Here is a 19504-nt window from a genome sequence, read left to right on the forward strand (position 1 = left end):
GAAACTGGGGGCACATTCACATTTACTGCTAGAACATTTCTCCCAAAACACTCAGTGTAATATGTGGTACTCTTTGATATGGACTGGTGACATGCCGGCATCAAAAGATGAGACCATACATTTACATGTACGTCATTTATTCTCAGTTAAGTGTTATCTACATAGGAAATAAACTGAAATTGTTGTGCAGTTTCAATTCTGACTGCTGACATTTATTAAACTTTGGCTCAAAGGTAGTGTGATTCGTCTCATGATTGACTTTTTGTACTAGCTTTCTCTCCCAAGTCCGTGTTCCATTAATTTCCTCAGCCAATAAGAAAATATTTTTCAATAATGCTAAAATTAGCTCCATTTGCTGACCCTACTACTAAAGAATCTGGATTCGGATTCATTGACAAGAATTCCAGAGGCACTTTTATCATAAGTTTTATTTCAACAAAATACTGATCCAGTTTTTATTATCCTCAAGAGTTAAATGTCAGCTCTGCCTTAAGGAGTATTTGGTATATACATTTTTCAGAATTTGTATCATAACCAGAGATGCAAATATCTTTAATAGAATTTTGTTCTGTATATTTTTTTTTAATTAAGAATTGTTACCTTACTCAAACGACCACCTTTTTAAACCATTTTTCAGTGGTCTGTGTAAACAGTTTCATATCAATTATCTGAAACCTAATTTAAAATTGGCCACAGACATCTAACCTCCTACTGTTAACAGACTTGAAGATGTAGATAATTTAAATTAGGGTTGGCATTTCATTTTTTCTTACCTATATCTTAATTTCTTGGAATAATAAAGTTTGATGTTCCACAAGAAAACTACTTAAGTCATTTTCAAAAGAAACTTGCCATCTGCATTACTGTGTTCCAGACATTAGGTGACTATAGGTACTGGGTGTTAGCAATGGTAAACTCCGTGCAGTTCTTTATGAAATGCTATATGTAACTGTTGGGTACATCAGTGCTTTCCAAATGGGTTGCTTAATATAGGATCCACTATGTATGTTTATGTTAAATGGTAACTTGTGATTTGGCTGTTTCCTGGGTTTTAGAACACCACAATGCAGAAATATATTCAAAATTAACAAAAGTAAACTTTTATCTGGATGCTATTAAATTTGAACATCAGGTATCATACATCAGCAGATCTTTTTTTTTTTTTTCTTTTTCTTTTTGTTACTCCATAAAAACACCTGTTTGGGATTTTTTCTTTTAACTGGGAGAAGCGCTCTTCTGTACAGAATGGCTATTCTAAAAATAGCTACGTGTTTTATTTTCCTCTTGCATGACAGATTTAACTATTCTTTCCAGCAATGGTGGTGCCTTCAGAGTCCAGTACTCCAGAAGAGTTAGTGTCTTGAGCCTAATTTTACATTTCTAATTCTGGTAGCTATTATCAGAAACTTTTGAAAGTTTTGTTTATGTAGCCTAGTATTTTTAATGTAAAGAGAATTAAATTTTGCTATGTATAAATTTTTGTAACCTAACAGTGAATCCATACTTTCAATCAGTGTCAAAGGCTTCCTATAGTTCTACTCAAGTGTTACAATAAATAATTGTAGATAATAGTCAATATTTGTGTATGCTTAAAGATCTATATTGGTGAAAATAGTAGCGGATGTAGTAAGAGAAATGAAATAAAAGTATAGCTTCATTCACTTGCCTTTTTACCATATGTACATCCAATCTTTCTTTGTCCTCAGTGTGGTGTCACTTTGGAATAATGTGCATAGTAAAGATTGCACATTGGTGTGGAAATCAAGTCCGTGAGCGCTACTTTGTTTATTTCTGGCAAAAATCTCTTCAGCAATTTAAGAAAATATTATAGCCTATTGGGCTGTATTGGGCATAAAAGTGCCCCTAGCACTTCTGTGGTTTTCTGTAGAAAGTAATAGCTTTTCTGATTAGTTTTGAAATAAATAAATGCCACCTACCTACGAGATTAACAAGGCTTGAACTTTTGCAAATTACAAACGATCAAGGCCTGTGTGTAGTTGTTTATTTTTCAAATCAAAGGTATAAAAATGGAAAGATTTACTCAGAAATATATAGAAAACCAGTTCTGTCACTCTCTAGAGTTGCAGAGCTAAATATGTTACTCAGAATTTTATTATATAATCTGTTTGAACTCCTTATCTGTCAACATAATTCTGAATTTGGATTCTCTGCATCTGACCTTCCTTAGTGAGGCCTAGGATTTGTCACTACTGACACATGGCCACTCCTAATTGAGGTGCTGACTCTGGATCATCACCCTTTATTCTGGCATGACAGAAAAACCGTCAGCAGTTCAATTAGTGTGCTATCTGTCACACTGCTTACTGCCTATTGTTTAAGTAGCGTTTTGTGCAATTATTTGTCACATGAATAGATAGAGGAAACTGTAAATAATACACAGATGAGATCACAAGCACCTATAAATTATCCATAGTGATTCTGCCACAAAATCTAGGACACTCTAGAGGTCTGAGTAGAGATTTTTTCCAGTTCTATGTTGTAAAAGCTAACTTTTAAAAAATAAAAATGAGATCAATTGTAAAGGAGGAGCCCTGTTTTTAAAAACTAACGAAATACTTGAAGCCCATTCATTAAGTATGAGGACCAAAATTTCCACAATAAATATGCCATCTCAGTATGTTCCTGATGCTATAACACAGTACCTTGGACTGGGTAACTTATGAAACTGGAAAGAAATAAATTTCTTACAGTTTTAGACACTGGGAAGTCCAAGATCAAGGCACTAATAGGTCCAATGTCTGGTGAAGGTGGGTCTCTTCTTCCAAGATGGCACCTTGTTGCTGTGTTCTCCAGAGAGGACAAATACAGTGTCCTCTAATGGTGGAAGGGCTAAAAAGCCTAGCTACTTCCATTGAGTTCTTTTATAAGGTCTCTAATTGCACTCTTAACCTCCTCCCAAAGTCCCCACTTTTTAATTCTATCACACAGGGGCATTTAAATTCCAACATATAAATTCTGGAGCGACACATATATTCCAGCCACAGGTGTCAAATGGAAAGACCACAGGCAATATTGTACTATTTCTAATGCCTAGAAAAATGTGTATCTTAATGTTTAGGTAGAAAACAGAAATATGCTGGGAAAAACGACGTCTCGTTGTAAAGATCACAGCCCAACTCTTCGGAGGAAAAAACACAGCTTACCCTTCTCAAATGTAAGCCTAGATTTGAGGAATATAGTAGGTTATACTTATCTAAAAATTTAGTAGAAAAATAAGAAGGCTTTTTTAAAAGAACAGCTCCTTTTAGTATAATGAATGAGACATTTTATGACTGGAAAAGGGGGTTTCACTTGACTCGATTATTCTCGGTTCATACACTATAGTACCAAATACATTAGGAAAAACCAGTACACTGGATTACCCACCGGTTTCTATTCAGAGTTTTGTCTGATGACAGAGAAACCTTTACAAAGGAGTAAATGTTATGTAACTTCTCATCATATTGAAATTAGAAGCTGGGGAGCAAACCTGGTTACCAAGAGTCATCTGGTTCGTCATGAGAAAAGCCTGTTAAATTAACAAAGGAAAGAGAAAAATTAAAGGGTAAAAATTTTGAAAATTTGTGTCGGACTTTTCTGGTATCTTTATAATGGTTTCAACTTATATCCTGGGGAGTTTCTGGCCTAGCTTATAAATTACATTAGGAACAATTTCACACGTTAAAAATATCAATCCATTCTTTTTATAGTCAGTAATTCTGACTGATTCAATAACTTCTTACGGGCAACCTCAAATTTCTATCCATTTCTTTAGCTGACACAATGAGCGATTAGCTGTTCACATATAAAACACAGTGTTGGGAAACCAAGTCCATTTCAACTTTTTCCGTAGATTGAAGCATGTCTATAGGGAGCCTTCCTGAACCACCTTTCTTGAGCTCTGATTATGTGGCAGAAAGGGAAGATTTTTGAAATTTGGTATGTATTAATTTTATGATATAAGTTTCTCTAAGAACCATTTTTGAAACATATATGTCATTTAAAAGCCTAAAAACGTTGTGACTGATAAATACAAAATTTAGCAAGCACATCAAAATAAACGATCAGGTATGCATTTAACACCATGATACTTCAGACTTATATAAAATATTAATGTCAGTACATATGTACTTGTTATATGATAATAGTTGTTTTCTTTCTTGTTCCTAAAAAACATGAAAAACCCTACCTTTACAAACATTGATAAACCAAAACCTATTAAATACTTTGTCTTAAGAAAAAAAATCCATAATTTTTTTCAAAACAGCATTACCTTTAAATGACTCAAGGTTCCATGTGAAATTTAGATTTTTTATGCTTTCCACCTTTTTGTCTTCAATGGAGGAGAAAGATTACTCAGATGTGGATTCCTGTTCCAAGGAGTTAAAATAAACCACAGAAGCCCTGTGTGTCCCCCACCCACAGCATGTATGCTAGTGAAGTAAGTTTTTGTAATGAAAGTCATTGCTGTCATCATTGGAAAACAAATAGATCATCTAAATGCTGGGAGCGATGAATTTCCCTCAAGCGTCCTATGCTTTAGATCTGAATTAACCAGGAATCCAGGGAACATCCATGTGTTATGGTAATTCAAGCAAGACTTAACAACTGTGTTAAGTGGACAGAGTAATCCATCTGATAGGACAAGAATGAGAACCCAGAAGGGAAGAGAACCTGCGGAAAAAGGGAGGCACCAAATGCCCCTGGAAGCAGCCTTGGACTGGCGGCCATGTCCGCCCTTGGGGTCTTCTGATGCCAGCTAGCTGACATTGACAGCCTCTTCTTTAAAGTCTGTTTTCAAAGCAACATTCTGAAGCAAAGCACAGTCTACATTTTTTACAGACTTATTTAAGGATCAAATAGAATGCACAAAAATTACCTTCAAAAACAGTCATATACTATGAAACTCCTAAGCTCCATATTCTGTGCAGCCTTTCTTACTGCTTGTAAGACAAGAAGAGAACAGGGGTGCCTTTCAGGGCACATGCCACTCTTCTGACTTTGGACACTAATTGACTCCCTTCCCTGACCTCAACGTACTTATGAAAGCTGTACAATGCTGGAACTTGTACAGAGAAGCAACTCATTACCCTTTTGTGATCTAGATTTTCTAGCTCCCTTTGTTCCCTTGCTAAAATGTAGGTTACTCTGCCGTTTTTCTTCTCTGCCTTTGTTCTTTCACTTGCTGTTGCCATATTTTTTCTTCTTGCTTTTGTTCCTCAATTGGTTTCTGAACTATACCTAACAGTTCAGAAAATAAAGAGTAGCTGCCCGTATCAGATTGTTCAAATGAATGTGAGACCAGTCTGCAGGAGTCCTTGCCAAGACCCGGGGAGACTCTGCTTGGCTTTTGTTTGACACGTGACCTACTTCAAGTCGCTGTTCCATGTTCATCGACTTCAAGCCCCCAATCCCGCTCCTTGCCACTGCATCCCACTTCACTTGGCTGAGATGAGTTGTACTCATCCCAGGGTGACTTGTAGTCACCCTCATCATGACCGACTCCAAGTGACATATCCTCCCTCCATGTCGCAAGTTCTTGTCCTTTACACGGATCTCCTTCCCCTTTTTCAAAGCAAAGCCTACATTTCTGCCTCTGCCTTTGATTATAATCCCTCTCCTAACTTTAGGATCCTGACTGAGCCACTGATCCCTATTTCTGTACAGAGCAGTTTTATAACTCTTACTCTCATAAAGGTGCTCAAGTCTGTTCTCCCCTGAAAAAACAGAACAGACATCACACACCTGCACTCCCCCAGACATTCTAGCCAACTCACTTTTCATTCCCCACTTCCACCAAATGGACGGCAGTCCTTCCTGGGTTTTTCACGATTACTCAGATATGGATCCTTTCCGTATCTTTTCTTCTACTGCTGGTCTCTCTACCTGCCCTCACATCCACAGTTCTGACAGTTTCCTGCCATATACATGTGAAATCCTCACAGCACCAGCTTTGTCCTGGGTGGGATCATCCCAGTTTTTTTGTTTGTTTGTTTGTTTGTTTTTCTCATGCTCTTTCTATCCTCCATCCATCTAGCAACCAGTGCTGGCATGTTCACATTCCCTGTCATTCAGCTGCACCAGGGGCCTTTCTCACCATCTCCCTGGAATACTTAAAGAGCCCACCCAGTCAAGACTCTCCGTGAAGTCAGTCTCTGCCTTCTAGTAACTTGTGGTCATTTGCACCAGGAATTTCCTGAGGGGAAGGTGTGTATCTTCTGTGCAGTGTCTCTGCTCTGTTAGAGTTCAACACCATGGTAGTCTGGGCTCCAAAAATCTGCCTTTATCTTTCCATATTGATTTCCTATAACACCACCAGCTTTGACCTAGAAATATTTCATCTGTCTCAACCCACTCACTGGGGCCTGGCCATGGTTATGTCTTCCTTGCTTGGTATTCACCTTTACTGTCTCCTCGGCCTGCGGCCCTCCCACACTGTCATAAAGCCTGTTATGCTATTCAAAACCCAACTGAAATGCCATATCCTCCTTATTTCTGAAGGGACAAGTAACCAAACCACTCCAGCAGCTTACTTACACCATATCTTGCACCTGCTTGTTGAAAACCTACACATACTTGTTTTGTCCACTTCTATTTTTTTCCAGTGAAGCCCCATATTTTAGTAAATTGTCTGTTCTCTCTGCATCTTGGCACAGATCCCTACATCTCAAATGTTTCATTAGACATCATTCTCAGAAACAATTATGCTGACCTTTCTCTTACAGTTCTGACACATAACCGATGTTTTTAAAGCTAGAAATGCTAATACGAAGAAAAATTCATAGGTTTACCAGAGGACTCTGAACCTTCTTGCTCTGCCTTGTTTTAAACTCATCCGCAGTGACTGAGTTAATTTCATGAATAAGAGAGAAGCAACACAGTTTTTCCTCTCTCTCCACCCCCCATCTCTTCTCAATCCTTCTCATGAAATTAAAATACAAAAGAGGCGTTTGATAATTTCTGCAGGCAGAAAGGCAACTTTCTCTTTGCTAGAACAAGAAGTGAAAGTTACTCTAAGATGAGATTGTTTTCTTTTATGGAATAGTAATCTCAAAATAGGGATGTTGTTTAAGCACCTCTATATTTAGAAACAAAGAGGAAGAACAAACTGCTTTTCTGCTCTGGTGTATGTTTTGCACCTGCACGGTGGAATACAGAAACCTCTGTGGACACAAAGGCAAAGGAATAAAGTATGTTCATTGGGCACCTCATATCAGAGACACCAAATTGCAGCCTTTTCCATTCCATCTGTGCCCAGATGAAGAGGTGAAATGATGAATATAAAAATTTCTCAATAACAACAATGCTACTCACTATGCTCCTTAATAATTTTAAAGCTAGTATGATAATGTACATTCTCTCTCAGAGGCAGAACACCTCACTACTCAGTTGATTTTCTTTATTCTATCACATTATTTTCATTCCCTTGCTCAGGCCTGGGACAAACGGCTGCCTGTCAGAAACTCCTTCTTGGGGCCACCTTCCCTAATGATCAGCTGCAGCCCATTTCTTCTGCACTCCTGGGTAATGTCTTCCTGGCAATCTGCCTCAGTGACTAGAAATTCAGGAAGACAAGGGCTTGGTTGGGTTCACTGTTGTGCATTCAGCCCCAAGGAAAGTGCCAAGGAGAGATAGGCTTTAGATAAAATCTCTCTGAATGCTCTCCAAAGCAGATTTACTCTTGAATCAGCAAAGTCCAACTTCTCAAAACCCCTTGCCTCTTTAAGTAATTCTGTATGTTCTCGAGTGCCATGACTATAAGCAAGAAACTGCTAACAAGAGGTTTTGGAAATGTTTTGAAGATGATGCATTTTCAATATTTGTGGGGAAGAAAGTGTGGTTTAACTTGAGAAATTTTCTTTCGTGTTTGAGAATTAAACACTTTGATCCCAAAACAAAAGAGCCTGGCTGTTTGCTTAGCCCTAGAGCAAAGTGCAAAGCTCCCACAGCTCTCTTCCAGTCTCCCTGCACCTCCAGCAAGGAAAGTGGGTAATCTGAAAGAAGACTGGATTGAGAAAGTGGGCCAGACAAGAGAAGTCTGATGGCCAGTTTTTCTCCAGTGTTAAGTTAACTCAGCGTAACAGCTTTTCCAAAAATTAAAATACAAATATTTTCCCTAATTTCTTAAGACACGAAGGAAGCATATAGGTGGAAAAAGAAATAATATTTAAATGTTTCAATCACATAAAGTTCTCTAATGGGAGTTAACTATTATTTCAGTGTTTCATCATGATCTCTCAAGATGATAAGGCCTTCATGAAATAGTTTTTGCCAAAGAGTTTTGGGGAAAAGTCTACCTAGTATGCTAGACACTGAATAGTTAATGAAAACACTTTCAAGAAACTCATCTCGGAAGCCAAAATGAGAAGTCCTTCATTGCAACGTGTGCTTTCCTCAGCATGGTCTTTACAAGATAACACAGAAGTTACTTCAGAAACGTCATTAACGACATAACGACACTATAAACCCCACACCAATACTTTGACTAGATTACACCTACAAAAAGACCTTCAGTGATACATGAAATAATTCACAGAGTACACATTACACAGATGTGACCCTGCAGACTGTTAGTTAAAATAAATAACTTACTTGGGTATTGATATGAGATGGGCACAGCAGCTGCAGCAGCACCCACAAGAGGCATATCTCCAGATATGCGTACACATGAGACATATCTCCAGAAGAGAACTCATCCATTTCAAGATGCCCGGGCACGTTTCCTGCATCTGCATGAGGCACAAATGGTTTTCCCATGAGTCGTTCCTTAGCAATAACCTCCTTCAGAAATAAGGAGGATATGGCATTTCAGTTGGGTTTTGAATAGCATATCAGGCTTTATGACAGTGTGGGAGGGCCACAGTGCCATGTGGGGGCAACTGGCTGGAGCATGGGAACTGCAGCCAAAGTAACTAGGTGGACTTTTTCCTGAGCGGATTTTGTGAATTTCCAAACATAACCACTTGCCAATGTATTAGCTTGTCAGAGTCTTCTTGTACTTAAAAGAATTAACTTTGTTTACAAAACTAGATTTCCCAACAAGAAAGTCAACCCAGTGACAGTGAAGAATCCATATGGCTTGTTGACAATAATCTGAATTCTTTTGAAATGTCAGTGATTTCACCCAAATACTTTAACAGATATTCACGAAATTTACGGAGCCCTCTCATTGACTTTTCAAAATATTATACTTCCAGATTTGAAGATGACTTTTACAAGACTAACCAATGGGTTACATACAAATATAAAGATTTCTCAAGCTGGAAAGAACCACAGAGATGATATGCTCTACATGCTTATTTTACACTTACAAAGTGACTACAAAGTGAGACAGTCTAAGGCAGGGCCACAGCCAGAACACCAGTTTCTGGACTCTTAATATTCTTTTATCTCCACTCTTTCACTAAAAATGAGGTTTTCTGGATCTGAGGAAATCAACAGAATCAGTTAATTTAAAGAAAAATAACATCCTTGTATTCCATATAAAGGAAGAAATACATATTTTAAAATCACTTATTTTAAATCTTATAAGTTAATGTATTTATGAGCTTAGCTCAAACTTTAAAATTAGTCATGCTGAAATACTTTAAAAGTAAACAGACACAATCACAAAAACTTCATGATAGAAAAATGAGCTGATATAGCTGTATTTGTAGTTTTGTCACAGAATAAAAATGATCCAATTTCTAACTGCTGTTTTGTTTTTATATCAATAGATACGCTTCACCAAAATGAAACTTTCCAGATCTTCAACTTATGAAAACAGGTATTTATGTTGCAACTTACATTTAAAAGATGAGTCGAATTACTCATAATCCTTAGAAGTTAGCTTGTCCGCATCTGAAAATTCACTTTTACCTTGAAGTTCAATCTGTCTCTGGGAAAGACTAGATTGGAAGAATAAAATTCAAGAATGTGATGTTTTAGTAATGGAAAAGCCAAGAGCGTCAGGTGGCAAAAGTCCTTCTGTTACTCAAGAAAATGCTCTGAAAAATTCCTTTTCTCTTTTTTTTTTGTAAAGATTAACTCCACCTCACCACCACAATGAGGTATTTTTCTCAGCAATTGACACCTGTTTACTCAGTTACTCCCTGTAACTATGTTATGCTGTGAAGTAGGCAATACAGTTGTTAAAGAAGAATAATGTTGGACTCTGAATGTTATTCCGAGGAGTTTCATTTTTCAATAGTAATAAAACATTTCTAAAAAAATTCTGCATATTACCAGCATGAACCAGCTGAGGTGGCAATAGCAAAAACTTGAGTGATTAGAGTGCCCTACTCAGCATATGTGTATGTTTTATCCTTCCTTTTGGCTTATCACAAGTACAAAAAAAGAAAAAAAAAAAAACACCTGGCCATGTGTGGTGGATCATGTCTGTAATCCTAGCACTTTGGGAAGCTGAGGCTGGAAGATCACAAGGTGAGGAGCCTGAGACCATCCCGGCCAATATGGTGAAAACCCATCTCTACTAAAAATACAAAAATTAGCAGAGCATGGTGGTGCGTGTCTGTAGTCCCAGTTACTCATAGGGTGAGGCAGGAGAATTGCTTGAACCCAAGAGGCAGAGGCTGCAGTAAGGTGAGACTACACTCAAGCCAGGGTGACAGGGCAAGACTCTGTCTCAAAAAAAGAAAAAGCTTTGGAAACATGACTGGTGTTGCTGGAAACAGCAGACTAGAGAGGTTGATGTGGGGAAACTGGGGGATTTATTTATGTGCACCAGCTCAGCGAACTTATAACCAAAAAGGCTGAGTATTGAATAAAGACTGAGCAGGGCTCTTTATAAGCAAACTTTCAGAAGCAGAAGTAAAGCAGTTGATTATACAATGAAAGGTTATGTAATTTATAGCATAACTTTTGACTTTGCATAACATCTTGCCTTGCATAGCTGGGTTTTGCAGCTGTGTTGAAAGAAAAATGAACCTACAAATTTTACTAAATACAAGCATTGGTAAACATAGTCATAATTAATGCTTCAGAAGAAGGAGAGACAGTAAAGTAATTTGCTTTTAATTTCAACTTTGCTCCAGTAAGGGGTATTTGCAACCCATTCACTTGGCCTCAACTTTTTAGACACTGTTATTTTATGACTGTCCTTGAAGTGAGCTAGATAGATGGAGAAAATACTTGTTTTTTTTTTTCTTTGTCATACGTGTCTTGTCACATTTTTCTATTTTTTTTTGATACCATTTATAGGAGAAATTTAATAGAAGGCATTCGTATTATTTTATTCTTTATGGGAAAGCATGTTTTCTTCTTTGGTCAAAGGTTGATATTTAGTTAGGGCTATTAACTCAGTAGCAGTATGCCTGGTCATATTGTTTTTGGACTATGTAGTATGTGTAGAAGTTGGGAATCCTTTTATGGGTACTTTTTTTTTTTATCAAGGTTAAGTGGGGAAATAACAGCAAAGCAATGAGTAGCATATTTATGTTTAGTGTGGTTAGAAGAGATTCATACCCAGGGGAGGAGGTTGAGTATAGTGACAGAATAACAGTAAAATAATTAGTATTACAGTGAAAATTAGATTTAAGATTTTTAATTATATTTAACTTGCCTGATGAGTTTTTAAGTTTTGGCTGTGCGTAGACTAGTTATCTTCTGGAGTGTGATTAGAGCTGGGCTTGTTGTCCTCTTCTTCATCTTTAGTCTTGTGTGGATTCGTCGGCTTTTGGAGGGACCAGAGCAGGGCTGTTGTTCTCAGTGACAACTCTGTCTTGTTGCATGATTAGCTGCCTGTTTCAGCAAACCATGATGGATCGATTAAGGCATGATTCCTGCAATTTTAACAGCAGTGGGAGTGGATAAGATTACAAAATGGGACCCATCCCTTATGGGTTCTAGAGAAGTTGGGTTTCATTTTTTAACCCAAAGAGAGTAGTTAGGTTTAAAGAAGCATGCTGGGCCTGTCGGGCTAATACGCATTTCTTAATGTACCTGACGCTGAATACTTCACATGGCTATTTTTAAAACCTGCATTTGCTTTTTGAAGATTAATTTCCTTAGTTTGCAGAGATTACTTTTAATTTGACCTAAGATTTGGTGTGGCTGATTGAAAAAAATTTTATAGGGTGAATACCTAGTTTGTTTAGTGGGGGTGCACCTGACTCGGATGAACACCATGGGCAGGATTTGATTTTATTATAGTTGATTTTTGTGATAATTTCTTTTGGTAAGTGCTTCAGTGATTTGTTTATGCATTTGGTTTTCTTTTTTTTTAACTTTGTTGTTGGTAGGCTGTGTGTAACTTTCATTTTATTTTATGCAACTTTGCTAGATTTTAAATTATTTCAACTATAATTGCTAAACTCTTGTTTGACTTCAAAGTTAGAGGCAGTTTAAACCTGGGGATAATGTTTTTAAACAGTATTTTAACTACTTTTTTGCCTTTTCAGTCCTCATTGGAAAACCTTAACCTATGTTGAAAAGGTGTAAATAAGTGCTAGTATAAAACAATAGCACCTGACATGGGACAGTTTTGTGAAGTTTACAAGTAAGTTTTTACAAGGCATAGCTTTTATTTTTTAGATCCCTGGGGGCTGGGTAGGCCCTTGCCCTGGGTTGTTTTGAGCATAAGTTTGTTTCGGGAATTCAGGGACCCTGAATGGAGGGACTGGCTGGAGCTGCGACAGAAGAACATAAATTGTGAAGATTTCATCGACATTTATCAGTTCCCTAATAGTACTCTTATAATTCCTTACAGCTGTCTTACTTTAGTCTCTTAATCCTGTTTTCTTCGTAAGCTGAGAATGCATGTCACCTCAGGACCACTACTGTATAAATTGATTGTAACATATGTGTTTGAAAACGATGAAATCAGTGCACCTTGAAAACGAACCAAATAACAGCAGTTTTAGAGAACAAGGGAAGACAACCATAAAGACTGACTGCCTGTGGGCTTGGGCAAAAAGAGCCATATTTTTCTTCTTGCAGAGAGCCTATAAATGGACTATAAATGTGCAGGTATGACAGATATCACTAAATTCTTTTACTAGCAAGGAATATTGATAATTGATCCTCTGGGAAAATAATTGCATTCCTGGGGGGAGGTCTATAAATGGCCACTCTGGGAGTGTCTGTCTCATGCGGTTGAGATGAGGACTGAAATACGCCCTGGTCTCCTGCAGCAACCTCAGGCTCACTAGGGTGGGGAAAAACCCCACCCTGGTGAATTTGAGGTCAGACCATTTCTCTGCTCTTAAACCCTGTTTTCTGTTGTTTAAGATGTTTATCAAGACAATAAGTGCACAGCTGAACATAGACCCTCATCAGTAATTCTAATTTTTCCTTTTGCCTTGTAATCTTGCTTTGCCCTTTGCCTTGTGGTCTTTATTGGCCTCAGAAGAATGTGATCTTTGTTCTCCTATTGCTTTTTGAAGAGTGTGATCTTTGGGACCTACTCTCTGTTTGTACACCCGCCTCCCCTTGTGAAGTCCTTAGAAAAACCTGCTGGTTTTGTGGCTCAGGTGGGCATCAGGGTCCTACCTGTATGTGATGTTATCCCCAGTGGGCCAGCTGTAAAATTCCTCTCTTTGTACTCTTTCTCTTTATTTCTCAGGCTGGCCAACACTTAGAAATATAAAAAGAACCTATGTTGAAATATTGGGGGCAGGGTCCCCAGATATAAGTTAAGTTTGTTCACAAACACCTTGAATGATGGCAGTGAGTTCTGGCATGCAGAAGTGGCATTTCAGTAAGTTTTTAGTGCCATTTTTCACATATGAGTTTTTTGTATAATTTGCTTGAAAAATTATTTCCGCAATGGCTAATTTACTGTTATACAACTTTTATCAATTTTTGTTAATATATTTTCTAGTTTTTTTGATAAACGAGGCCCTCTCATTTGGAGTGTAACTTGGGATATTTTGGAGTGGAGGTTCTGGGATGAGAGGCATATTTAAGGTTCTTTTAAAAATTATGGCATAATTATTTCTTCCTGTTTTGCCTTCCTGTTAACTTTCCTATTTCCTTTGGCTTTTGATGTCCCTGCATTTTGGTGCCCCCAATAATGCATTATTACTACTTTTTCTGGAGCCTATACAGCTGTTAAGAGCTGTAGAATTTTTTCTTAGTACTTTATTTTTTTGCCTCCAGCTGTTAAGAGATTTTCTTTTTATACACATTTCTATGAACATGTAGTGTTGTAAAAGTATATTTAGAGTCTGTATAAATATTCAGCTTTTTGTCTTTTGGTAGCAAAAGGGCACTTGGTAGGGCTATTGATTTTGCCTTTTGGGCTCATGTTCCAGTAGGCAGAGATTGAGCTTCTACCATTGAGTTTAATGTTACCACTGCATACCCTGCTTGTTGGATATTTTTCTAGCTGAAAACTACTTTAATTTATGAAGTATTAAACATCTGAGTTTTTGAGGGGTTGATCTGTAAGGTCTCCTTTTCCAGAAAATATTTCATCCACTTTTTAGACACAGTTATGGAGGGGAGCTTCAGGTTCAACTAGGAGCAGCGTGGTTGGGCTTAAGGGGTTTACTGCTTTTTAAGTAATGTAAGGGTTTTCGTACAGAAGCCCTTGGTACTGCATTATTCTCAGAATTGATAACCAGTGGGACCTTCTTTGGCTCATTGATGTTTCGACTGAGTGTGGCACCTGGACGGTTAGCTGCTGTCTCAAATTAAGTTTGTTAGCCTCTTGTGTTAGCAAGGCAGTGGTGGCTAATGCCTTAAGGCAAGGAGGCCATCCTAGTGCCACAGAGTCTAATTGTTTAGTTAAGTATGCCGCTGGACAATGCTATAATTTTATAATTTGGGTTAAGAACACTGAAGCCATTTCTTTTCACTTATGGATGTATAGAAAGAAAGGCTTAGTTATGTTTGGCAGTCCAAACGCTGGGGCCTGAGTTAAGGCTTTTTTTTTTTTTTTAATTTGTTTAAATGCTTTTTGCTGTAGATCCTTTTCCAGAGGAGGGTTTCTTTATTTTCCCCCTTCATAATTTTATATGATGGCTTAGCCATCAGTGAGAAATTTGGGATTTAGATATGGTGGAATTTTTCTGCTTCTAAGAATTTGTTTTCTTTAATGCCTAGTGGTTGGGGTTGGGAGTGTACAAATGGCCTGCTTCCACTTATGGCCAAGGTGGCATTCCACGTGGCTTACAATGAAACCTATATATTTGAAATTTTTATGAAAAATTGGGCCATTTGTTGAGATAATTTGTAACCTGTTTTTCATAGGAGATAGAGGAGGTCTTGGGTTTCTTGATAACAGCCCTCCTGGATTGGTGCTACTAAAGAAAGATCATCTACATACTGCAACAAGGCACAGTTATCCTTTGGCAGGTTGTAGGCTTTAAGGTCAGTGCTTCCCTAAAGATTGGGGGTGAGTCTTTGAACTTGTGAGAGCCTGGTCCAGGTGAGTTGCATAGCTTTTTTGTTTGATTGAAAGGCAAATATAGGTTGATTAACTTGGGCTAAGCAGATATAACAGAAAACATTCTTTAAGTTTAGGACTGTAAATCAGGTAGCAATGCTGGAATGAGATTTATTAAAATACATGCATTTGGTACCACTGGATGGATGGTCACTGTGGCCCGGTTTGTGGCACACAGGTCGTACACTGGTCTATACTTATTAGACCCTGGTCCTGACAATGGTTTTCATATTGGCCAAAGTGGAGTGTTCTAGGGCAATTGACATCAAACAAAGATTTCATGTTGGTAAAGTGGGTTTAAATGTTTACAGACACCTTGAATAGCCTCTCGGGGGACTGGGTACTGTCAAACATAAGTCAGAGTTTCTTTTGGTTTTAACAGGACTACCACCTGTGCATGATTTACAGCTAACCCAGGTGGGGTGTCTTTAGCCCATACTCCAGGAGTGGTATTAAGTAACTGAGAGAATGGTTTTTTCATTGCACCTGCATGTCTAATCTGCTGCTTGCACTTGCTTTGTATAAAGTTTCCATTTCTTAGCCTGCAGGATGATAAATGTTAACACCAGGGTTTTTGGGTGAGTCAGATTTAACGTTATACTTTTTGCACATGAAAAGCAATTTGTGCTTGCAGTTTTTGGAGTAAATTTTTTTCTTAGCAAAGGAACTGGACAATTCAGGAGGTATAGGAATTCATGTTGGATTTCTTGGCCTTTTATAACACACCTCCTTGACTGACAGAACAGCTTTTTCTCTGTGACTCCCATGGCTTTTATAATAATTTTATTGCTTTTGGATAACGGCCCTATGGGTTGAGTGACTATTGAATGTGTACCCCTGGTGATTACCATAAAGTCCGTCAGCTGGCCTTCAACTTTTAATGTAACCATGGGCTCGTGGAAGTGTAGTAAGAAGGAGCCTGGTCTCTCCTAGTTGCTATATCCTTTAGTGCAAGCCAGCCTATTTAGATTAGTATTTGGTTTTACCACATTGAGGCAGCCTTTAGCTGGTGACTTTTTTATACAACAGTCCTTATTATATTTTTTACTCCCTTCTGGACATTTATTCTTTCAATATTTTTCTTTCCCATCGCACATATTGTTCTCTCTTTAGCCTCAACTGGCTTTTTGGACTAACTTGACCTCTTTCACATGCACATGCAAGTCCATGTCCTTGTATATACCTGGTCACTTTTTTTTTTTTTTTTTTTTTTTTTTAATGAAAGTGCTGCTAAGAGATTGGCCTCTCTTTTTTAGCCTGTGATTTACATTTTTTTTTTTTTTTTTTTTTTTTTTTTTTTTACTTCCTGGTAATAGTTAACATATATTTTGACAGCCATTCCTATAAACTGGGATGTATTCATGCCTGCAAAACCCTGTAGCATTTGCAGCTTTTGCTGGATGTCACCCTTGGCCTGTCTTATAAATGCTGTGTTTACCATGTGCTAATTTTCAGTAGCCTCAGTGTCAAATGGGGTTTAAAACCAGATTGTTTTACAAAGCTGTTTAAATAAAACTGGCTTGGTTTTTTATCTTTCTGAAGCATTTTGAATTTTTTTATATTAATTTCTTTTTTTTCCACAAGCTTTTGTCTCTGGCAAATGTGCCTCCCAGTACCTCTGCAGGCACTGATGCTGGCTTGCGTTATCTGGGTCTTAGTTGAGGCCTGCTTCTGGAAACTGATCCTGAGTATATGCCTGAGCATTTTCTGTGTTTGCTCATGCATTGGCTTCTAGCCAATGAAGGGCTGCCTGAGTTATCCCCTGGCATTCCTTTGTATTAAACAACATTAAGAGAAGTTGCCTGCAATTTAGCCAGGTTGGATTGTGTGATAGAAAGATGGACTGCAATAGGTTTATGAGAGCTTTGGGCTTTTCCCTGTAGGAGGGAGTGTGATGGTTTAAATTTAGTAGATTGGTGGTTGAAAAGGGCTGAGAGAGGAAGGCTTCTTGCCCCCCACAACCTGGATGTGGCGCTGGTCATTATAGTAGATGAGTCCTCATATTTCCCTGAGAGGCAGTTGCATAGCTTGAGGATGACCAGATTTGAGACAGCCTGGTTGACTATTGTGACTTCCTTCCCTGGCCTCTCAAGTCTCCGATTCTTCTCTCTGTGGTGAAACTTGGGGAATGCTGGCAATGGAACCAGGCTCCTGGGGGACTGTTGGCTTCAGCAAAGGGAGGTAGGCTGTGATATATGCAGGAGAAATTTATTTTCCTCTTCTGGCTTTTGTAAAACTGGTTTTTCTTGCTGTCCTGAGGACTTTTCCTTTAACTGAGTGTTTGCTGATGAAGCTGCTTTTATTTCACTTTTGGTTCAGCTAGCGCTATAAGTGTTTATCAGTAGGCAGCTAAACAGGGCTCGGTACATGCTGTTCCTGTTTGTATTATATGTAATTATGAGTAAATATAAGAAAATTGGCCTGGGTGCCCTGGCTGTCCTTGGACCCCTGTCATTACCTCAAACTCATTTCCAGTTGTTTCTCTGGGTAGTCTTTTTGGGTCATCTATTTAACGCCAAAAGAGGGCTATTTTAGGTTACAGAAAGTTTTTCACTTTTGGGGGGTTAGCTTAATTTTATAGTTCCCCGTAAAACCTTTCTCATTTTTTTTTTTTAGCATATATTTGAATGGTATATGTTTTGATGACTCTCTTCCCATTTTCTCCCAGTTATGATGCAGTACACTCGTGCTCACTTTTTACTTTTGTTTTGCACCAGCTAGACCTAGTCCTATTATGGGGGTTTTTAGATATCACTTAGATTTGGAGAGTTTCTTAAGCCCACCACAAGTGCTGTAGTTGTGAGGTAGCTTCCGTTAGCCATATGCGGATCACAACTAGTCTTAGTCAGCCACACATTTGGCTTGGAGTACAGTCTTCACTAAGAGACTTGTGGTTCCTCACTTCGTGGCTGATGAGCCTAGTTAGGCCTCTCCATTCACACACTTCCCCACACCATCCTGCTACCAGTTCCCATGTTCCCAGTTGGGGTGGTGAGCCACTTTCCCTACGTCCAGTTTCCTTCTGAGCTGACTTAGCAGGCTACTCTCACATGCTCTGTTGGTTGGGTTGTAAGTTTCTTCTGAATTAGTGAGACACTCTCGTTGTCTGCAGCCCTTCTTGGTCGGATTACCAGTTATGCCCTAGGAGGTGATTAGGCTCCTTTTCTGTCCTTATGGGACAGGTCATCCCTTGGGTCCCAATACCTTACTGTGGTTTCTGAAGTGAGCTGTTCCTGCAATCATCCTGTAGCCCATTAGATACCATTGCATTGCTGGGTAGGGGCACTGGGTCACAAATGGGCTGATCTCCCAACCAGGCTGAATTTCTCCCGATGGTGCTGCTGGGTCTCAGGACTCCTGAGACCCAGGGCTTAAGCTCCTAGAGGCAAAGGAGACAGTAAACCTGTCATCTCCTCTCCTAGCTGGCTGGTCAATAATGTTGCAAGAAGCAGAGGACCAAAGAGACCTATATGGGGAAAAAGGAAGATTTAATTAGGTGCCCTGGCTCAGTGGACTGATATCCCAAAAGGCTGATCATTGAACAAAGACTGAGTGGGGTATTTATAAGCAAAATTACAAAAGCAGAAGTAAAGAAGCCACTTAAACAATGATAGGTTACATAATTTATAGCATAAGATTTGACTTACCGTAACTTGTAGCCTTGCATAGCTTGTGGCCTTGCAGCTGTTAAAAAACTAACAAAAAAACAAAAAACAAAAAAAGGAAAAACAAAAAAGAGTAACTTTTAATTGTACTAAATACAAGCATTCGGAAACATAGTCAAAATTAATGGTCCAGAGAAGGAGAGAGAGCATTGGTATCCATTTTTCTTTTCAACTTTGCTCTGGAGTTGGCTGTTTGCAACCCATTCCTTTGGCCTTCTCTTTTGAAACAGTGTTATCTTATAACTCTTTTGAAACAGTGTTGTCTTATAACCTTCCTTGGAATCAGCTGGCTAAGCAGAAGACATTTTTTTTTTCCTTTTCTATTTAACCCTCGTCTTGCCACACTGGCACTTTTGGAAGAGAAACATATTCAACATGCAGACACTGAAGCTCCAGCCTGCAAGTATACAGTCAGTTCTCTGTGCTGTAGGGCTCAGGTATGGTTAGAAGT

General features: G+C 38.5%; 1 protein-coding gene, 1 long non-coding RNA gene and 1 pseudogene across 3 annotated transcripts in view, besides 2 other annotated features; 1 reads left to right on the forward strand and 2 right to left on the reverse strand.

Moving 5' to 3' along the window:
- The window catches only part of HSFY1 (heat shock transcription factor Y-linked 1), a 59321-nt gene extending 49177 nt beyond the window's left edge, over positions 1 to 10144 (forward strand). Inside the window, exons 5-6 of one of the 2 annotated variants that reach the window (NR_003510.1) lie at positions 3854 to 3939; positions 9717 to 10144. Coding sequence is in view for 1 of the 2 variants with exons in the window: in NM_152584.1 (NP_689797.1) it covers positions 9717 to 9815 (99 nt within the window). In the remaining variant the exon portion in view is untranslated. The remainder of the gene's footprint in view (positions 1 to 3853; positions 3940 to 9716) is intronic. The other variant, NM_152584.1, reaches the window with a different exon arrangement.
- Positions 2387 to 11702, reverse strand: TTTY9B (testis expressed transcript, Y-linked 9B). Its single transcript, NR_002159.1, has 5 exons — positions 11561 to 11702; positions 9787 to 9887; positions 9312 to 9425; positions 8593 to 8729; positions 2387 to 3529 (listed from the first exon to the last, which is right to left on the reverse strand). It is a non-coding gene; the product is annotated as a testis expressed transcript, Y-linked 9B (long non-coding RNA).
- The window catches only part of OFD1P5Y (OFD1 pseudogene 5 Y-linked), a 41669-nt pseudogene continuing 30755 nt past the window's right edge, over positions 8591 to 19504 (reverse strand).
- Positions 12580 to 13333: a recombination feature, noted in NCBI's record as "recombination_hotspot; A01756/A01184 sub-region, recombines with A01756/A01184' sub-region within the AZFc P1.1b recombination region". NCBI's record gives the evidence for it as "EXISTENCE:polymerase chain reaction evidence [ECO:0000082][PMID:17877719]".
- Positions 12676 to 12677: a recombination feature, noted in NCBI's record as "recombination_hotspot; WHT2825 sub-region, recombines with the WHT2825' sub-region within the AZFc P1.1b recombination region, resulting in a large deletion together with a 31 nt insertion". NCBI's record gives the evidence for it as "EXISTENCE:nucleotide sequencing assay evidence [ECO:0000219][PMID:12297986]".

The sequence above is a fragment of the Homo sapiens genome, chromosome Y (assembly GCF_000001405.40).
Source record: "Homo sapiens chromosome Y, GRCh38.p14 Primary Assembly".
Taxonomy (NCBI): domain Eukaryota; kingdom Metazoa; phylum Chordata; class Mammalia; order Primates; family Hominidae; genus Homo; species Homo sapiens.